The sequence below is a fragment of the Homo sapiens genome, chromosome 19 (assembly GCF_000001405.40).
Source record: "Homo sapiens chromosome 19, GRCh38.p14 Primary Assembly".
Lineage (NCBI taxonomy): Eukaryota > Metazoa > Chordata > Mammalia > Primates > Hominidae > Homo > Homo sapiens.
Genome location: NC_000019.10, coordinates 21,310,740 through 21,328,770, shown reverse-complemented (window position 1 = coordinate 21,328,770; position 18,031 = coordinate 21,310,740). Strand labels below are relative to the sequence as shown.

General features: G+C 40.9%; 1 protein-coding gene and 1 pseudogene across 5 annotated transcripts in view, besides 2 other annotated features; one reads left to right on the top strand and one right to left on the bottom strand.

The window, feature by feature from the left end:
- The window catches only part of ZNF708 (zinc finger protein 708), a 38,251-nt gene that overhangs the window by 640 nt on the left and 19,580 nt on the right, over positions 1-18,031 (top strand). For 2 of the 5 annotated variants that reach the window (NM_001297560.2, XM_047439310.1), the window contains exon 2: positions 630-811. The exons of the other annotated variants lie outside the window; for them this stretch is intronic. The gene's annotated coding sequence lies outside the window, so the exon portion shown is untranslated. The remainder of the gene's footprint in view (positions 1-629; positions 812-18,031) is intronic. 5 annotated transcript variants of the gene reach the window in all.
- Positions 897-1,418: an enhancer, noted in NCBI's record as "H3K4me1 hESC enhancer chr19:21510155-21510676 (GRCh37/hg19 assembly coordinates)". NCBI's record gives its function as "activates a minimal SCP1, AML or CMV promoter by ChIP-STARR-seq in naive and primed H9 embryonic stem cells {active_cell/tissue: H9 hESC(naive and primed)}" and the evidence as "EXISTENCE:reporter gene assay evidence [ECO:0000049][PMID:30033119]".
- Positions 10,083-10,610, bottom strand: BNIP3P25 (BCL2 interacting protein 3 pseudogene 25; annotated as a pseudogene).
- Positions 10,530-11,034: an enhancer, noted in NCBI's record as "NANOG hESC enhancer chr19:21500539-21501043 (GRCh37/hg19 assembly coordinates)". NCBI's record gives its function as "activates a minimal SCP1, AML or CMV promoter by ChIP-STARR-seq in naive H9 embryonic stem cells {active_cell/tissue: H9 hESC(naive)}" and the evidence as "EXISTENCE:reporter gene assay evidence [ECO:0000049][PMID:30033119]".

Genomic DNA, 18,031 nt, shown 5'->3' with positions numbered 1-18,031 from the left:
AGTGATTCAATAATTGTAGAGCACAAAAGTATGTTTTGTAGTTTGTGGTTCATGGGAGGAGCTTGAAGGAAAGACTTTTTATAAGGTGCATGATGAAGAAAACTATATTTAATAATCGGTTAGGTACATTTACGTAGCTGTTGCTGTTAAGTAGAAAGCCGGGGACTAGAGCCTCCTCAGTGTAATTGCCTGCCACTTAATTATTCTCACACTCCACAGGGGACTGATTTTCCCCTGCATTTTTCACATGCGTTCCAAGCGGGGTCTCAAGTGTACCTCCCAGCCCCATTCCTCCAGCCTAACTCTGGCCTGCAGTTAGATTTAAACTGCAAATAAACTAAAATACTAAATTTCTAGTTCCTTCTGACATTTCCAAATGCCAGCTTGCCTTTCCTAATTCACATTCTCAACTGTTTTTCCTTTAGTGTACATTTTTGATACTGTATTTTAGTTAATCATTTTTTGACAAAGCATTGGATGGCACTTAAAATTGTTTTCTGGTTGAAAATATTTCTCATGAGAAGAAAGCAAAAAATAATTCCCTGACACTGTATTTTATGAAATTTCTATGGCTTTTTTTTTTTTATCTTCCTCAGGCACAGAAATCTTATCAGAATGTTTGTTTTCAGGTGAAGGTTTTTCTTTGGAAACTTTACGGAGTGATGTGTCTTCAGCCACCCTTCAGTTTTTTCCTGGTCCTGGGTTTCAGTACTGTCTGGAGTAAACCAAGATACACATCATGACTTTTTCTGCTAGAGTGTCTAGTGAATATCAGCTCCTGGGTCATTTTTCTCCCTGAGGACAACCTGAGGTATGGAGTGTAGCTTCTCAAGGGAGCAGGTGGATGCCCTGGGGCTGAGAGGCATCTCCTGGCATACTCTTCCTTTGAAAAGCTAACCCCTTGAGACATTAAGATTGTCTTCACCCAACCCAGCTTCCATTTCTTGGAGACACAGTGCTGGTCAGCCAATCAGATGCTGGTATTGAGGGGAAAACACAGAAATAATTTCTGCCCCCTGAATTCTCTAAATTTTGTGGAAAAAAAAAAGTATCCCAAAAGACAAAGAAAAACCTGACCCAAGTGAGATGGTGCAAGAACTTACAAAGTAAAATGCACCTGGGGCATAGTGTAATGTCTCCTGAGAGGGTGGTTATTGAGCACTTAAGGTGAGCAGAATGGGGTGGGTGAATATCAGTCAGACACATCTGTTTTCTTTCTTTTCTTTTTTTTTTTTTTTGAGGTGGAGTTTCACTCTTGTTGCCCAGGCTGGAGTGCAATGGCACGATCTCGGGTCACCGCAACCTCCGCCTCCCAGGTTCAAGCGATTCTCCTGCCTCAGCCACCCGAGTAGCTGGGATTACAGGCATGTGCCACCACACCCAGCTAATGTTTTTGTATTTTTAGTAGAGATGGGGTTTCTCCATGTTGGTCAGGCTGGTCTCAAACTCCAGACCTCAGGTGATCCGCCCGCCTCGGCCTCCCAAAGTGCTGGGAATACAGGCGTGAGCCACCGCGCCCGGTCTAGACACATCTGTTTTCTAATTAGCACTACCACTCCCTGGGTTTGTCACCTTGAAAAGATTTGTTCACTTATGTTGACTTCCATTATTTAACTGTAAATTGCATTTTATTAATAGGACTTGGAAGGTAAGAAAATATTAACAGAGGGCATAAAAGAGGTGGATTTCAGAAAAAATTAATATTAATCATGTATTTTATTTGTGAGAAATTCTCATTTAAGTTTTCCTTTCTTAGAGTAAGTTTAGGAATTTTCTCAGATGTATTTTTTGTGAATATATATATAATCAAATATATATGTATTTATATTTATATTTAATATGGACTCTTGCTCTTGTTGCCCAGGCTGGAGTGCAATGGCACAATCTTGGCTCACTGCAACCTCTGCCTCCCGGGTTCAAGCAATTCTTCTGCCTCAGCCTCCCGGGTAGCTAGAATTACAGGTGGGCGTGCCACCATGCCCAGCTAATTTTTGTATTTTTTGTAGAGAACGGGGTTTCTCCATGTTGGCCAGGCTGGTCTCAAATTCCTGATCTCAAGTGATCCACCCGCCATGGCCTCCCAAAGTGTTGGGATTATAGGCATGAGCCACCGCGCCCAGCCTATTTTATGAGATTTTGGTGCACCCATCACCAGAGCATTATACACTGCACCAAATTTGTAGTCTTTTATCCCTCGTCCCCCTTCCACTCTTCCCCTCAAATCCCCAAAGTCCATTGTATCATTCTTATGCCTTTGCATCCTTATAGCTTAGCTCCCACATAACAGAACATACCATGTTTGGTTTTCAACTCCTGAGATACTTTGCTTAGAATAATAGTCTCTAGTCTCATCCAGGTTACTGCAAATGCTGTTAATTCATTTTTTATGGCTGTGTAGTATTCCATTGTATATATATACCACAGTTTCTTTATCCATTCATTGATTGATGAGGATTTGGGTTGGTTCCATGATTTTGCTATTGTGAAATGTGCCACTATGAACATGCGTGTGCAAGTATATTTTTCGAATAATGACTTCTTTTCCTCTGGGTAGATACCCAATTGTGGGATTGCTGGATCAAATGGTAATCCTACTTTTAGTTCTTTAAGGAATCTCCACAGTGTTTTCCATAGTGGCTTTTCTAGTTTACATTCCCACCAGCAATGTAGAAGTGTTCCCTGTTCACCACGTCCATGCCAACATCTACTGTTTCTTGATTTTTTGATCATGGCCATTCTTGCAGGAGTAAGGTGGTATCGCATTGTGGTTTTGATTTGCATTTCCCTGATCATTAGTGATGTTGAGGATTTTTTCATATGTTTGTTGGCCATTTGTATACCTTCTTTTGAGAATTGTTTATTCATATCCTTAGTCCACTTTTTGATGGGATTGTTTGTTTTGTACTGATTTGTTTGGGTTTGTTGTAGACTCTAGATATTAGTCCTTTGTCAGACGTATAGATTGTGAAGATTTTTTCTCACTCTATGTGTTGTCTGTTTACTCTGCTGACTGTTCTTTTTGCCGTGTAAAAACTATTTAATTTAATTAGGTCCCTGATATTTATCTTTGTTTTTATTGCATTTGCTTTTGAGTTCTTGGTCATGAAATCCTTGCCTAATCTAATGTCTAGAAGGGTTTTTCCAATGTTATGTTTTATAATTTTTATAGTTTCCGATCTTAGGTTTAAGTCCTTAATCCATCTTGAGTTGATTTTTGTATAAGATGAGAGATGAGGATCCAGTTTCATTCTCCTACATATGGCTAGCCAATTATCCCAGTACCATTTGTAGAAAAGGGTGTCCTTTCCCCACTTTATGTTTTTGTTTGCTTTGCTGAAGATCAGTTGGCTGTAAGTATTTGGGTTTATTTCTGGGTTCTCTATTCTGTTCCATTGGTCTATGTGCCTATTTTTAAACCAGTAACATGCTGTTTTGGTGACTATGGCCTTATAGTGTAGTTTGAAATCAGGTAATGTTATGCCTCCAGATTTGTTCTTTTTGCTTAGCCTTGTTTTGGCTACGCAGGCTCTTTTTTGTTCCACATGAATTTTAGAATTTTTTTTAATTCTGTGAAGAATTATGGTGGTATTTTGATAAGGATTGCACTGAATTTGTAGATTGCTTTTGGCAGTATGGTCATTTTCACAATATTGATTCTACTTATCCATGAGCGTGGGATTTGTTTCCATTTGTTTGTGCCATCTATGATTTCTTTCATCAGTGTCAGGTGTATTTTTTATGGCTTGGTAATTTCCAATAAAATTTCAAGGCTGTTTAAGAATGCTACCAAGAAAAAGAATAGGGGAAATGTCTTTCCCATTTTGGCTGTAGAAAATGAGTACATTTTCACAAGAAAATGTGGTAGATAATTGCTGAGTTACATAGATTCATGAAAGCATCAGCTCCTCTTTTTGCAGGGTAAATTTGTGACAGTGAATATCTCTGTTCAAATCCTGTTATCTTGATTTCCTAGTTTTAAGCTAAATTTTATTTGAAACTTGGTACCTCCTAGACATGTTTCCATATGACTAATTGTTTACTATATGACTTTTAATGGAAATAATAAAATAATGCATTTATTGTTTGAAAGGAATGGACACTTTTGCTTTTCTTATTGAGATATGAAATATAAGCACCCTAAAATTTTCTTCTCTTATGTCAACACTGTGTTTGAGAAACTGCTGGATTTTTTTTTTATTTTTTGAAATGGAATTTCTCTCTTATTGCCCAGGCTGGAGTGCAATGTCATGATCTCGGCTTACTGCAGCTTCCGCCTCCTGGGTTCAAACTATTCTCCTGCCTCAGTCTCTTGAGTAGCTGGGATTACAGGCATGCACCACCACACCTGGTTAATTTTGTATTTTTAGTAGAGACGGGGTTTCTGCATGTTGGTCAGGCTGGTCTCAAACTCCTGACCTCAGGTGATCTGCCCGCCTCGGCCTCCCAAAGTGCTGGGATTACAGGCGTAAGCCACTGCGCCCAGCCAAGAAACGCTGGATTTTTTAAACACTTAAGTTTATTTTTTTTTGAGACGGAGTCTTGCTCTGTAGCCAGGCTGGAGTGCAGTGGCGCGATCTCAGCTCACTGCAAGGTCCACCTCCCGGGTTCACACCATTCTCCTGCCTCAGCCTACCCAGTAGCAGGGACTACAAGTGCCCGCCACCACGCCCGACTAATTTTTTTTTTTGTATTTTTAGTAGAGACAACGTTTCACCATGTTAGCCAGGATGGTCTTGATCTCCTGACCTTGTGATCCACCCGCCTCAGCCTCCCAAAGTGTTGGGATTACAGGCGTGAGCCACTGCGCCCGGCTAAACACTTAAGTTTCAAAGACCAAGTGAATAACTCTTGACATGGAAATTAAAGCTTTAGCCCACTGGCTCAGAGCTAAGGCTAATATTGAGCCTGCAAAAAAATTTTATTAAAGGCCCAGTTAGTTTTTTCTGGGGAGTCTCCTCTGTAGATATCCCAGCCTGCTCACCCCAGCCATAGAAGTCTTTATCCTGGGAGAAGCTACAGAGCCCTGGAAAGCTGGGGACCCACAGGTGGATGCAGTTGATGTTAAAATGAAAGGGGATTGGGAGGGTCTTACTGAAGATGAAGTTGTTCTTGTTTTGAGGCAGTTTATAGACTTTGAAAATAAAACAAGGTTGAATTTACATAAAAATTTTGACTTCCAAAGAAATATTGCAACAGAAGTACCAACTACAAGGTCTTTAAGAATTGCAAAGTTCAGGCAGACAAAGGCTTCCTTTCCTAAGGAGGAACAAACAAGATTAGAAAGGAGGTGGAAGGGGAATGGCAAATGCAGGGTGAAAAAATCAGATTTTAGATCAGAGAATGTTTCACACTGAAGTCAGCCTGTTCTTTGGAGTTACATAAAATGGGTTTGTAAAGTTCAGAAGCCTTGGGGAAAAAGACAAACTTAAGTAAAGTTTCCTTAAGAAGTATTTTATTTTCACCACTGAAGTCAAATTCAACTGATTTTTCAATAAGAAAAAAAATGTGCAGAGTCGGTGTCTGCTATGTGATAGATAAGAAAAGAGAGCACCATCTAAGTCATAATGGGAAGGGTGTTTCTTTCGATAAACTGTTCCTGGAGAACACAAACAATGAAGAATTTTATTAATCACAGTTATTTATCTGGATTGTCTATGTGTGTCATCTTTCCCCACCTTTCTTTGTTCTATACATGTCTGCCATTTGACTTTTCCTGGGTTGTATCTTTTATAATAAACTGGTAAATATAACTACAGTATTTGCTGAGTTCTATGAGTAGCTTTATCAAATTATTGAACTTGAAAAAGGTTATGGGAGTCCTCAATTTTTAAACAGTAGCTCAGAAATGTAAATGGGCCCATGGAGTTTGTGCCTGGCATCTGCCGTAAGGACAGTGTGGGACTGAGTCAGGGCCTGTGCTGACACTGGGTGGTGTCAGAAATAAAATGTTAGACAATGAGTTAGTGTTAGAGAATTGCTTGGTTTTCAGTAAACTGCAGATTTGGTGCCAGAAAAAAGATACGGGGGCCTGACCTGGAATAAAACTCTGGATGTCTGGGAATGGGACGCTCTGCTCTCCTGTACACAGGCTGTCACACTGCCCATTGTCCTGTGATTTCAGTTCTCCCAGGGTGAGAGAGGACTGAAAAATTAGAGAATAGGAGCTCTGGCCGGGTGCCGTGGCTCACGCCTGTAATCCTAGCACTTTGGGAGGCCGAGGCGGGTGGATTGCCTGAGCTCAGGAGTTCAAGACCAGCCTGGGCAACGTGGCAAAACCCCGTCCCTACTACAGATAGAAAAAATAAGCTGGGCATGGTGGTGCGTTCTTGTAATCTCAGCTATTCAGGAGGCTGAGGAAGGAGAATCACTTGAACCCGGGAGGCAGAGGTTGCAATGAGCCAAGATTGCGCCACTGCACTCCAGCCTGGGTGACAGAACTAGACTCTGTCTCAAAAGAAAAAAAAAAGGAAAGAAAGAAAAAAAAAGAATATGAGCTCTGATGACAGACCCCCTTTTCCCACAGCTGCCACCACAGGATTCCCAGCCACTCACAAACATACCCATTAGACATTGACGTGTCCACACTTATTCCCAGGACTAGGCACCACCCTCAGGAATTTTACCACAGCATTTTTGATCCTGGTGTTTCTTGCTACAAACTCACAAACATGTCTACAAGTCTCCTGGCATATCCGCACCCCCAGACACTGAATCTGCACCAGCAACCTGTTTTCTCCACCAACCTAGGGTTCTGGACCACCTGTTCATAATCTCACCTGCCTGTATGAACAGAGAAATAAATTAGAGTACAGCCCCACCCAGGCACAAACCAGTCCTTCCATCTATATTGCACTCTCCCTTATCCATGGAGTTTTTTCCTTTTAACTTCTATTTTTGATTCATTGGTACATGTGCAGGTTTGTAATATAGGTAAAATCGTGTCATGAATGTTTGGTGTGTAAATTATTTTTTCACTGAAGTACTAAGCATAGCACCAAATAGGTATTTTTTTCTAATTTTCTCTCTCTTTTCCTTTTCCCTTTCTTTCTTCCTTCCTTCCTTCCTTTCTTTCTTTCTTTGTTTCCTTCTTTTTTCTTTTCTCTCTCTCTCTCACCTCCCTCCCTCCTTCCCCCTCCCCTCCCCTCCCCATCCTCTCCCTTCCCTTCCCTTCCCTTCTCTTCCCTTTTTTTCTTTCAAGCCTTGCTCTGTCACCCTGGCTGGAATGCAGTGGCATGATCTTGGCTCACTGCAACTTCCGCCTCCCAGGTTCAAGCGATTCTCCTGCCTCCTGAGTGGCTGGGATTAGAGCTGTGTATCACCATGCCAGGCTAATTTCTGTATTTTTAGTTGAGATGGGGTTTCACCATGTTGGCCAGACTGGTCTCGAACTCCTGACCTCAAGTGATTCATCTGCCTTGGTCTCCCAATGTGGTGGCATACAGGCGTGAGCCACAATGCCCACACCCTCTTTGTTTTTCCACCTTCCACCCTCAAGTAGGCCTCAGTTACTGTTGTTCCCCACTTTGTGTCCATGTGTTCTTATTATTTAACTCTTACTTATAAATGAGAACATGCATTTGGTTTTCTGTTTCTGCATTACTTTTCTTTTCTTTTCTTTTCTTTTCTTTTTTTTAAGATGAGTCTCACTGTCTCCCAGGCTGGAGTGCAGTGGCACGATCTCTGCTCACTGCAAGCTCCGCCTCCCGGATTCACACCATTCTCCTGCCTCAGCCTCCACAGTAGCTGGTACTACAGGCGCCCGCCACCACGCCCAGCTAATTTTTTGTATTTTTAGTAGAGACGGGGTTTCACCACATTAGCTGGGATGGTCTCGATCTCCTGACCTCGTGATCCACCCGCCTCGGCCTCCCAAAGTGCTGGGATTACAGGCGTGAGCCACCGCGCCCAGCCTTCTGCATTACTTTTCTAACAATAATGGTCTCCAGCTCTATCCATGTTGCTGCACAGGATATAATGCTGTTCTTTTTTTTTTTTTTTTTTTAATGGCCAGAGAGTATTTCATGATGTTTATGTGCCATATTTTGTTTTTATTAGATCTTTTATTTTATTTTTCTTTGGAGACAGGGTCTCATTCTGTCACTCAGGCTGGAGTGCAGTGGTGCGATGACTGCTCATTGCAGCCTCAATCTCCTGGGCTTGAGCAGTCCTCCTACCTCAGCTTCCCAATTAGCTGGGACTGCAGGCATGCACCACCATGCCTGTCTAATGTTTCTTTTTGTATTTTTTTGTAGAGACGGGGTTTTGCCATGTTGCCCAGGCTGGTCTCAAACTTCTGAGCTCAGGCAATCAACTTGCCTCAGCCTCCCAAAGTGCTGGGATTACAGGTGTTAGCCACCTTGTCCGACCATACCATATGTTCTTTATTCAGTCTATTATTGATAGGCATTTAGATTGATTCCATGTCTTTGCTATTGTGAATAGTACTGCAATAAATATGCATGTGCATGTGTGTGTCTTTTTAAGAGACTAATTTATATTTCTTTGGGTATATACCAAGTTATGAGGTTGCTGGGTCAAATGGTAATTCTGCTTTTAGTTCTGTAGTTCTGTGAGGAATTGTTACACTGCTTTTTTTTGACTGAGTCTTGCTCTGTCACCCAGGCTGGAGTGCAGTGGCATGATCTTGGCCTACTTCAACCTCTGCCTTCCAGGTTCAAGCGATTCTCCTGCCTCAGCCTCCTGAATAGCTAGGATTACAGGTGCCCGCTACCACACCTGGCTAATTTTTGTATTTTTAGTAGAGATGGGGTTTCACCATGTTGGCCAGGTTGGTCTTGAACTCCTGACCTCAGGTCATCTGCCTGCCTAGGCCTCCCAAAGTGCTTGGATTACAGGCTTGAGCCACTAAGTCTGGCCGCCACACTGCTTTTTACAGTGGTTGAACTAATTTACACTCCCACCAGCAGTGTATAAGCATTTCCTTTCCTCTGCAACTTTGCCAGCATCTATTGCTGACTTTTTAACAGTAGCCATTCTGACTGGTGTGAGATGGTATCTCATTGGGTGTTTTTTTACATTTTTCTAATAATTAGTGATGAGCATTTTTAAAATATGCTTGTTAGCCACATGTATGTCTTGTTTGGAAAAGCATCTGTTCAGCCACGCGTGGCTTTCTCTACTAAAAATACAAAATTAGCTGGGCGTGGTGGCTCATACCTGTAATCCCAGCTACTCCGGAGGTTGATACAGAATCCCTCAAACCCAGAAGGCAGAGGTTGCAGTGAGACAAGATCACACCATTCCTCTCCAGCCTGGGCAACAAGAGCAAAACTCCATCTCAAAAAATTAAAAAAAAAAAACTCATATTAGGAGCACACACAAATTGAACACAATGATAGGAGTAAATTTAGCAATACAGAATAATAAGGACTAAAACATACTAGGTTCCTTTTACAGAACACTAATTATCCAAAGTAATTATCTAATATTTGCAGGCTGAAGTACTTACACTGCAAAAACAAGAACAGTTCAGTGTATAAACTGAAAAGTGGAGCCTGTAGTTGTACTTTGGTTTCTATTTATTAAGAACAATTAGCATAGTTATCTGAAGTGTTTTTAGACAACATACATTCATATAAATTAAAAAGTATTTTCTACAATAGTATGAATATAAGATCAAAATATTTACTTTGAATCTCCTAAGCAGTCATTTTAATATTGTTATTTATACTTCTGAAATATAAAATGTTTAAACTGAATTATGGTTATAGACAATGTTTAAAAATCCTACATACATTATGACTAGTACATTAAAATTATTTATATTTATTTATATAGCTAATATCAAAAAATACTACCAAATTGTTACAGTAGATATGTGTCTGACATACATATTGTTTTATCCAATAGGGATAGTTATAGGTAAGCATAATTTTAGTGTCTTTCATTTTACTAAATTGGAATGCTGCCATTCCAGGACAAATAGACAGGTGATGTGGTCACCCAAAAACCATAATAGCCCTTCAGTTAGTTATGCGGCAAGCTCACATATATTCTACTATATGAACAAAGTCAGATTCCAGTTCGTAATTTAAAAAGTGCTGGTGAATTGTCAGTTGTATTTCAATATGGAACCCCCATTCAATGGCTAGGAGATGAGAGCAGCAGAGATGGAAGAGAAACCTTATAAAATTCTGCTGAGAATATGCTTTTTTTCTTCATAATGCTCATGTTTCTCATGCCAAGAGTAGCTGTGCATTAGGGGTATTTTAAGAGAAATTCCTTTTAGGGGAATATTTTCTGACTGACTTGATCAATCATATCTAATCTGAGTTTTTTCTCAAGATACATTTAACTTCTTTTTTCTCTCAATATAATTTTTGCAGTAGAATCAGACCAAGAGCTGTTTTTCTCTTCAATGCTTCAGATGTCTGTTTTAGAAGCCCTAATGCTATCCCTTGGTGTTGACAAAGAGGTGGGTTTTCACAGGGAGAACCATCCTATCTCTATCTGGACTCATGCTGGAAATCCAGCAGTATTTTTTTCAAGTCACCATAATAAATTGAAACTGAGGCTGAAACACCACTCCCATTCCCATTATTATGAAGGTGCAATTCTACCCCCAAATCCTGTAGGCTCTCCTGTACCATAGTCTTCAGTCTCTGATGAGGTACTGGAGTGCTGCTGTGGCAATTGGGGCTCACTTAAGATGTAAGCTGCCAGCTGTGAGCTCTGTGCTTTGGGCTGTGCCTCATTGGCAGATGGTAGGGGTCAAGAGAGGACACTAGCCATAAGTAGACGGCAAGCAGGAGTGCTGTAGCTGAGTGCTCAGAACATAGAGAGCCATTGCTTTAAAGTGTAAATAACCAAAAAGATAGCACCCTATTCAACCATTGTAGTAGGAGACTGAGAGTCTACCTTCAGCAGGCACCTGGTGTCAAGTTGCAAAACTACCTCCTGTCATGAAGATGTGAAAAGTTTATTTTGTCATTGATTATAACCAATTAGCATAGATAGGTGGCATCCCCAATGACCAGGTGAATTTAGGATGAGCTCTGTATGACATGGTGCTGTAAATTCTTCGACTTGTGGACTAATTATGGTGACTATCTTTCTGTCTTTGCAGTCTCTTAAGCAGATTGATTGTGATGCATGTCACATTCTGGTTTAATTGTGTAATAAAAGTTTTCTTTCTTTTCCATCATTGTGAAGTTTTTCTGGGGCTGGAGATAATTTCTCTTGTTATATTTTCCAAACACAGTCTAGAATTACCAGACGTGATATAAATATATAAGGTGTCAACCAAGCTTTACTCTAGAAGGGCCTTTCCCTCTCAGGATTCCAGTCAACTCACAATTGTGCTGCAAAGTGCACGCTCTTCCCTAAATATGCAGGAAGAATTGCATCTCTGCCTATTTGGTATCTATTGTCCTCTACAGTCACTTCCAGAGAGGCTAGATCAGATTTCTACAAACCTTACAGGGCAGCAATCAACCATTTTACCTCTTTCAGTGACTTTTTTGTTGTTGTTGAGATGGAGTCTCACTGCATTGCCCAGGCTGGAGTGCAGTGGCATGATCTTAGCTCACTGCAACCTCAGTCTCCTGTGTTCAAGTGATTTTCCTGCTTCAGCCTCCCAAGTAGCTGGGATTACAGATGCTCACCACCATGCCTGGCTAATTTTTTTTTTTTTGTATTTGTAGTAGAGATGGGGTTTCACCAAAGGCTGAGCACGGTGGCTCACACCTGTAATCCCAGCACTTCGGGAGGCCCAGGCAGGCAGATCACCTGAGGTTAGGAGTTCGAGACCAGCCTGACCAACATGGAGAAACCCCGTCTCTACTAAAAATACAAAAATTAGCTGAGGGTGGTGGCACACGCCTGTAATGCCAGCTACTGGGGAGGCTGAGGCAGGAGAATCACTTGAACCTGGGAGGCAGAGGTTGCAGTGAGCCAAGATTGTGCTATTGCACTCCAGCCTGGGCAACAAGAGCGAAACTTCGTTTCAAAAAAAAAAAAAAAGAGAGATGGGATTTCACCATATTGGCCAGGCTGGTCTCAAACTCCTGACCTCATGATCCACCCATCTCAGCCTCCCAAAGTGTTGGGATTACAGGCGTGAGCCACCGTGCCCAGCCTCAGGGACTCCTGTCATCAGACCTGAAGCTGACTCAGAGACCATGGGGCCCAAAAACCCTAGCAGAATAACATGTGTGCATTGAATAGATATGTAGACATGAGAATTTTTAATTCCTTTTTTCTCCTCTTGCTAAAATGTCCACAAATGTGCAAGTAATACCTGCTGCTACTCCACCCATCCAGAATCTGAATCTGCAGCTCCAATTTCTGAATCTAGATCTTGAGGCTTGGAAAAAATGAAAACTTTGCCGGGCCCACTGGCTTACTCCTGTAATCCCAGCACTTTGGGAGGCCAAGACGGGTGGATCACCTGAGGTCGGGAGTTCGAGACCAGCCTTACTAGCATGGAGAAACCCTGTCTCTACTAAAAATACAAAAAATTAGCCAGGCGTGGTGGCGCATGCCTGTAATCCCAGCTACTCGGGAGGCTGAGGCAGGAGAATCCGGGAGGAGGAAGTTGCGGTGAGCTGAGATTGCGCCACTGCACTCCAGCAGGGGCAACAAGAGCGAAACCCTGTCTCAAAAAAAAAAAAAAAAAGAAAAAAGAAAAGAAAAGAAAAGAAAAGGATTTGCATTTCCTATATAAAAGGTTTTTTTTTTTTTGAGACAGGTTTCACTCTTGTTGTCCAGGCTGGAGTGCAATGGCACGAACTCGGCTCACTGCAATCTCCGCCTCCCAGGTTCAGGTGATTCTCCTGTCTTGGCCTCTCAGTAGCTGGGATTACAGGCCTGCACCACCATGCCTGGCTAATAATCCTTTTCTTTATAAGTCTCAGAGAGACATTAAAATGAGACCACAATTATGTCTTTCTTTTTTCTTTGAGCTATGTAGTTACCACTTGAAACTGCTTGCTATTGCCACAAGTAGCTATAAATTGAACTAAAAATGCCACACTGGACACTATAACCCACACCCTATAGCCTAACAATGTATATCCAATCAATAATCAATTTATTTTTGTAAATAAAAAAATGTTGACAGACAACTTTGTATCAACCCACTCTATGCGCCTCTCTTTTTGTCTTTCCAATCCAATTGTAACTGCTGCTAATCAAAGTATATATTCCAGGCAACTTGAATATTTGCTCCCAGGTTACAATCCTCAAGTTTGGCCCAAATAAATTGTATACTTACATTCATGTTTCCTCAGCTATTTCCTTTTAGGTAAACATCATTTGGAACGTGCCAGAGCGGCCTCTGAGGGGATCTCTCCTTTGATTGTACTTTGCTTTCTGTAACACCTAAGGATGCAGAGTCAGGTTGATCCCACTTAGAATCTGCACATAAGATCTGGCTTCTGCCTGGGATTACAAGACAGGGCCAGACTTTGAATTGGGAATGTACTGAAAACCAATAGAAGGCATTTTCTGCACTGTGAGATGTCAACATAGACATCCTACAGCTCCCTTTGAGACTGTGGCTCTTTGAGCTTTTCAGATTTTGTCCAGTAAGATCTTGTAGCAGGTCTGCCACAGTTACGTGAGAGGCTCCAGATGTAAACAGAATCTGATGGCAAATTCTGTAAATATAAATAAACATCTTAGGAGTGAGAGATCAAGACCACAAAGTATCCGGAGCCATGACCACAACTATACCTGCCTGTAAAATGTTATGTACAATATTCTTGTCCTTCCTTCTATCCAAAAGCTAGTTAATCAGAACAAGTAATTCTGGAGCTCAACCAGGGCAGTTCCATTTTCTATTTAGAATCAGCATGACTCTCTCTAGCCTGGCTTATTATTGGACCATCAGCCCAGGGTCACTGGGAACCCTCTCACAATTACGTAGGCATTTTTGAGACATTTGAGGATGTCCAGAGCAGAATTGTGTCAGGCTGACAAGAGTGGTTAATTCTGCTTTTCCCTCAGTGTAAGAGAAATGAGTCATCCTGTGTTTGTTCCTTCCCTTATACAAGGGATGTTTTTGATTGGTACCCAGATGAATTTCTCCAGTTTTCTGGTACTTGGGTAAAAACAAGGAGGAGATCTGGAGACTCAAGCAGATAAACTGATTGCTATAATTTTATATGGCCATTAGAAAAATAGATGAAGCAGTCATGGTTTCTACAATCCAGAAACTCTTAGTCTAGACTAGCAACTGAATAAATGGTTGAATTAAGTATCATATGGTTGGTATAGCAAATAGATGTGTGAAAAAATTGTGAGCTTTATTTGGGCCACTTTATTTATATTGTTGTGGCTTCTGATGTCATCACTTGAAGGGATATTTATGGACAGAAGCATTATTATTTTTTGATTTCTTTTATCTTGCTAATAATACATATTTATCTTCTAATAATATTACCCTAGAAAACCTTAAGAGATTTGTTTAAATTGCTTATTAGTATATGTTATAAAATTGACAGGGCAGTGGCTAGAAAAGATTAAAATTACGCAAACGCTGGGATTTAAGTTTCTCTTAGGTAAGCTTACAAAAAACAGAACTTGAAATACCCCAGTGGCATAGAGAACAGAATTCTACAGAGGGTCTCCCCTTCCCCAGTTCTGTTCAGATTCACCCTTCTTGAGGGCCTTGTTTAGATCTCACCCAGCCCTGGAGTCTTGCCTCACAGAACTGATCAGAAGAGATCAGAGTTTTGGTTGTTGAATTCTGCTGCCTCTCTAGAGCTGGTGCTCCCAATTTCCTGAAACCCAAAAGCAGATAAATGGGAAAAGTAAAATATGTATTTTAGGGTCTTAATTTCTTAATTTTTTATTAAAACCAAGGTTGCAGAAACATTCCATTTAGGAACTTGTTTTCTATTCCTGCAGATTCAGTAGTTGTTCCACAAGTCACAAAAAAGTAAATATAAACCCAGTAAAAATTCCTCAAAACTACATTAAACTCTTTCTGTAATCCTCTCATCTGTCTGTATTAGGCTTTTATTCTACACACTTTTTTTTTTTTTTTTTTGAGACATAGTCTCGCACTGTTGCCCAGGCTGGAGTGCAATGGCATGATCTTGGCTCACTGCAACCTCCACCTCCCGGGTTCAAACAATTCTCCTGCCTCAACCTCCTGAGTATCTGGGATTACAGGCACCCACCACCATGACTAGCTAATTTTTGTATTTTTAGTAGAGACGGGGCTTCACCATGTTGGCTAGGCTGGTCTCAAACTCCTGACCTCATGATCTGCCCGCCTGGGCCTCCCAAAGTGCTGGGATTACAAGCATGAACCACCGCGCCTGGCTTTTCTACACATTTTTTAAAAAACCAATGACAGAGAAACAGTAGAAGAGTTAAAAATGCTGGGCTCTTTATCTAAATCCTGGTAATTATTAAACACTTAGTACCAACTTGCATGATGTTATGAGAGTTAAATCATATAATATGTTATTCCCAGCACAGTGCTCTGTAACATACTTTTTTTTTTTTTTTTTTGAGACAGGGTCTTGCTCTGTCACCCAGGCCAGAGTGCAGTGACACAATCTCAGCTCACTACAACTTCTTCTTCCTGGGTTCAAGCGATTCTCCCACTTCAGCCTCCTGAGTAGCTGGGATTACAGGCACATGCCACCACACCTGGCTAATTTTTTTTTTTTTTTTGTATTTTTAGTAGAGATGAGGTTTCACCATGTTGTCCAGGTTGACCTTGAACTCCTGATCTCAAGTGATCCACCTGCCTCCTAGGATTACAGGCATGAGCCACTGCACTCAGCCTGTAGCATACCCTTGAGAGCACATAGCGCCTGCTTAATACACCTTGCATTAGTACATGTTGTTTTCCAAATGCAGACTTATTCAGACATTGCTGCCTTCTGTTTCCTTTGTAAACTTTGAAGAGCCAGCAAATAATATGAAACTTTAGGATGAAGATGGGTTGTCTTTATTTGTACCAGAAATACTTGTGTTGTGACAAGAGTGCTGAGTGTAAGGGACTCTGTGCTGTGCCTGCTTTCTCTAACTACTGCTAATAATGAGCCCGGGGGAGCAACATTAACATTGACAGGGGTCTTGTTTAAAACATTTATCCATGGATCCTTTCCAAACCTGCAGAATCCCATTACGTAGAGTGGGTCCAAAATTACCAAGTGAATTTTAAGCTCACTAAAGCTTGAGAGGCAATGCTTGGCTAAGTGGTTATCAGCCCAGGCTTCTCATTAGGATTACACAGCCAGTTTGCAGAAATCTCTGTACTTCACCCCTCCTCACAGGCTCTGTTTATTGCTCCAGGTGGACACATCCATGTTGTATTTGTTTGTTTTGAGATGGAGTCTCACTCTGTCTCCCAGGCTGGAGTGTAGTGGCTTGATCTTGGTTCACTGCAACCTCTGCCTGCCAGGTTCAAGTGATTCTCCTTGAGTCAGCCTCCCAAGTAGCTGGGATTACACGTGCATGCTACCGTGCCTGACTAATTTTTGTATTTTTTTTTTTTGAGATGGAGTGTCGCTCTGTCACCAGGCTGGAGTGCAGTGGCGCGATCTCAGCTCACTGCAACCTCTGCCTCCCACATTCAAGCGATTGTCCTGCCTCACCCTCTCGAGTAGCTGGGACTACAGGCGCGTTCCACCACGCCCAGCTAATTTTTGTGTTTTTAGTAGAGACAGGGTTTCACCATGTTGGCCAGGCTGGTTTCGAACTTCTGACCTCAGAAGATCCACCCCCCTTGGCCCCCCAAAGTGCTGGGATTACAGGCTTGAGCCACCGCACCTGGCCCCATGTTGTTTTAATTAAGTGCCTCATGTGATTTTAACATGAGGCTAGAATTGAGTATGAGGGGTTCAGATACATTCATAAGAGTTAAGTCTCACCTTTGCACTAAAAGGGTGGCCATAGGGCTGTTTCTGTTTGGGTTTGGTAGGGAGAGGACAGTGTGGTCCATATTTTTATTACTGTAGCAGAAATTGTTGGTGTCCATGTAAGGGAAGGGCACCTGAGGACAGGAAAAATGAAACTTATATCTTTATTTCCATGGTGCAGCGTGTTTTTCCCGCATCTCTTCTGTTATTAAGGACAGAAATGGGTGGACTTTTTCTGCAAGTCTTCATCTTTTTGCTTGTGGATGTGGTGGTATCAGGTAAACAGGTGGTGCTGACACCTTTAAAGGCATATTCTCAAGATGTCTACCTAAAATCATTATTAAAAATTAAAACGGGAAAGATATGTTTATCTTGAACTTTGCACAGAACTGATGTTTTCTTTATGGTTAAATTCAGACTATAATTCACTTTTGGGGGGAATATTCCAGCAGTGGTGCTGTGTCCTTCTGTGTTATGCATTAGCACATCATAAAAATTTGTCCTAGTGCAGTTGATGTTAATAATTCTTTCGGTTAAAAAAAAAAAGACAAAATAAGTCTTTTGGTTAAAGAGCTCTCTGAAAGATTTTTTCACCATAGAGTTAATTATTTTTCTGTTCATTATTAAGTATCTTTATGCAGCTAATGTGCATAAATCATCATATTTTATCTGGGAGCTGACTTTTTCTTAGGTTTTCCTTGTATACATATGTCTTTGGAAAATGAAAGCTCTTATCTTTCTGTACAGGTAAGTAAAACTGAAAAAAACACAGGCCCTTTTACTTACGGGATGTTTGACAAAATATTCTTTTTGGGCCAAAAACATTGGAATTATTGGTGAGCTTGTTAGAAATTTAAAAACTGAGACTTTATTCCAGATCTTCTGAAAAAATAATCTCCACTAACAAGATCTCCAGTTTATTTTACAGACTAAAATTTGAGAAGCACTTTCTAACTCAACATGTCTTTTCCATCTGAAAAATATACACAAGTCATTCTGTATGATGTATATATAGCAATAAAAAATGTACATGTTTCTGTTCATGCCCTTAAGTTTATACTTTATCATTCAGAAAAGTAACATATATACACTGATTTTGTGGATCTTATACTACTCTCTTTTTTCAGAGTTAGAGAATACATTCGAGAATATTTCTGTGTTGAAAATTATTTTATTGGATAATTTCAGTC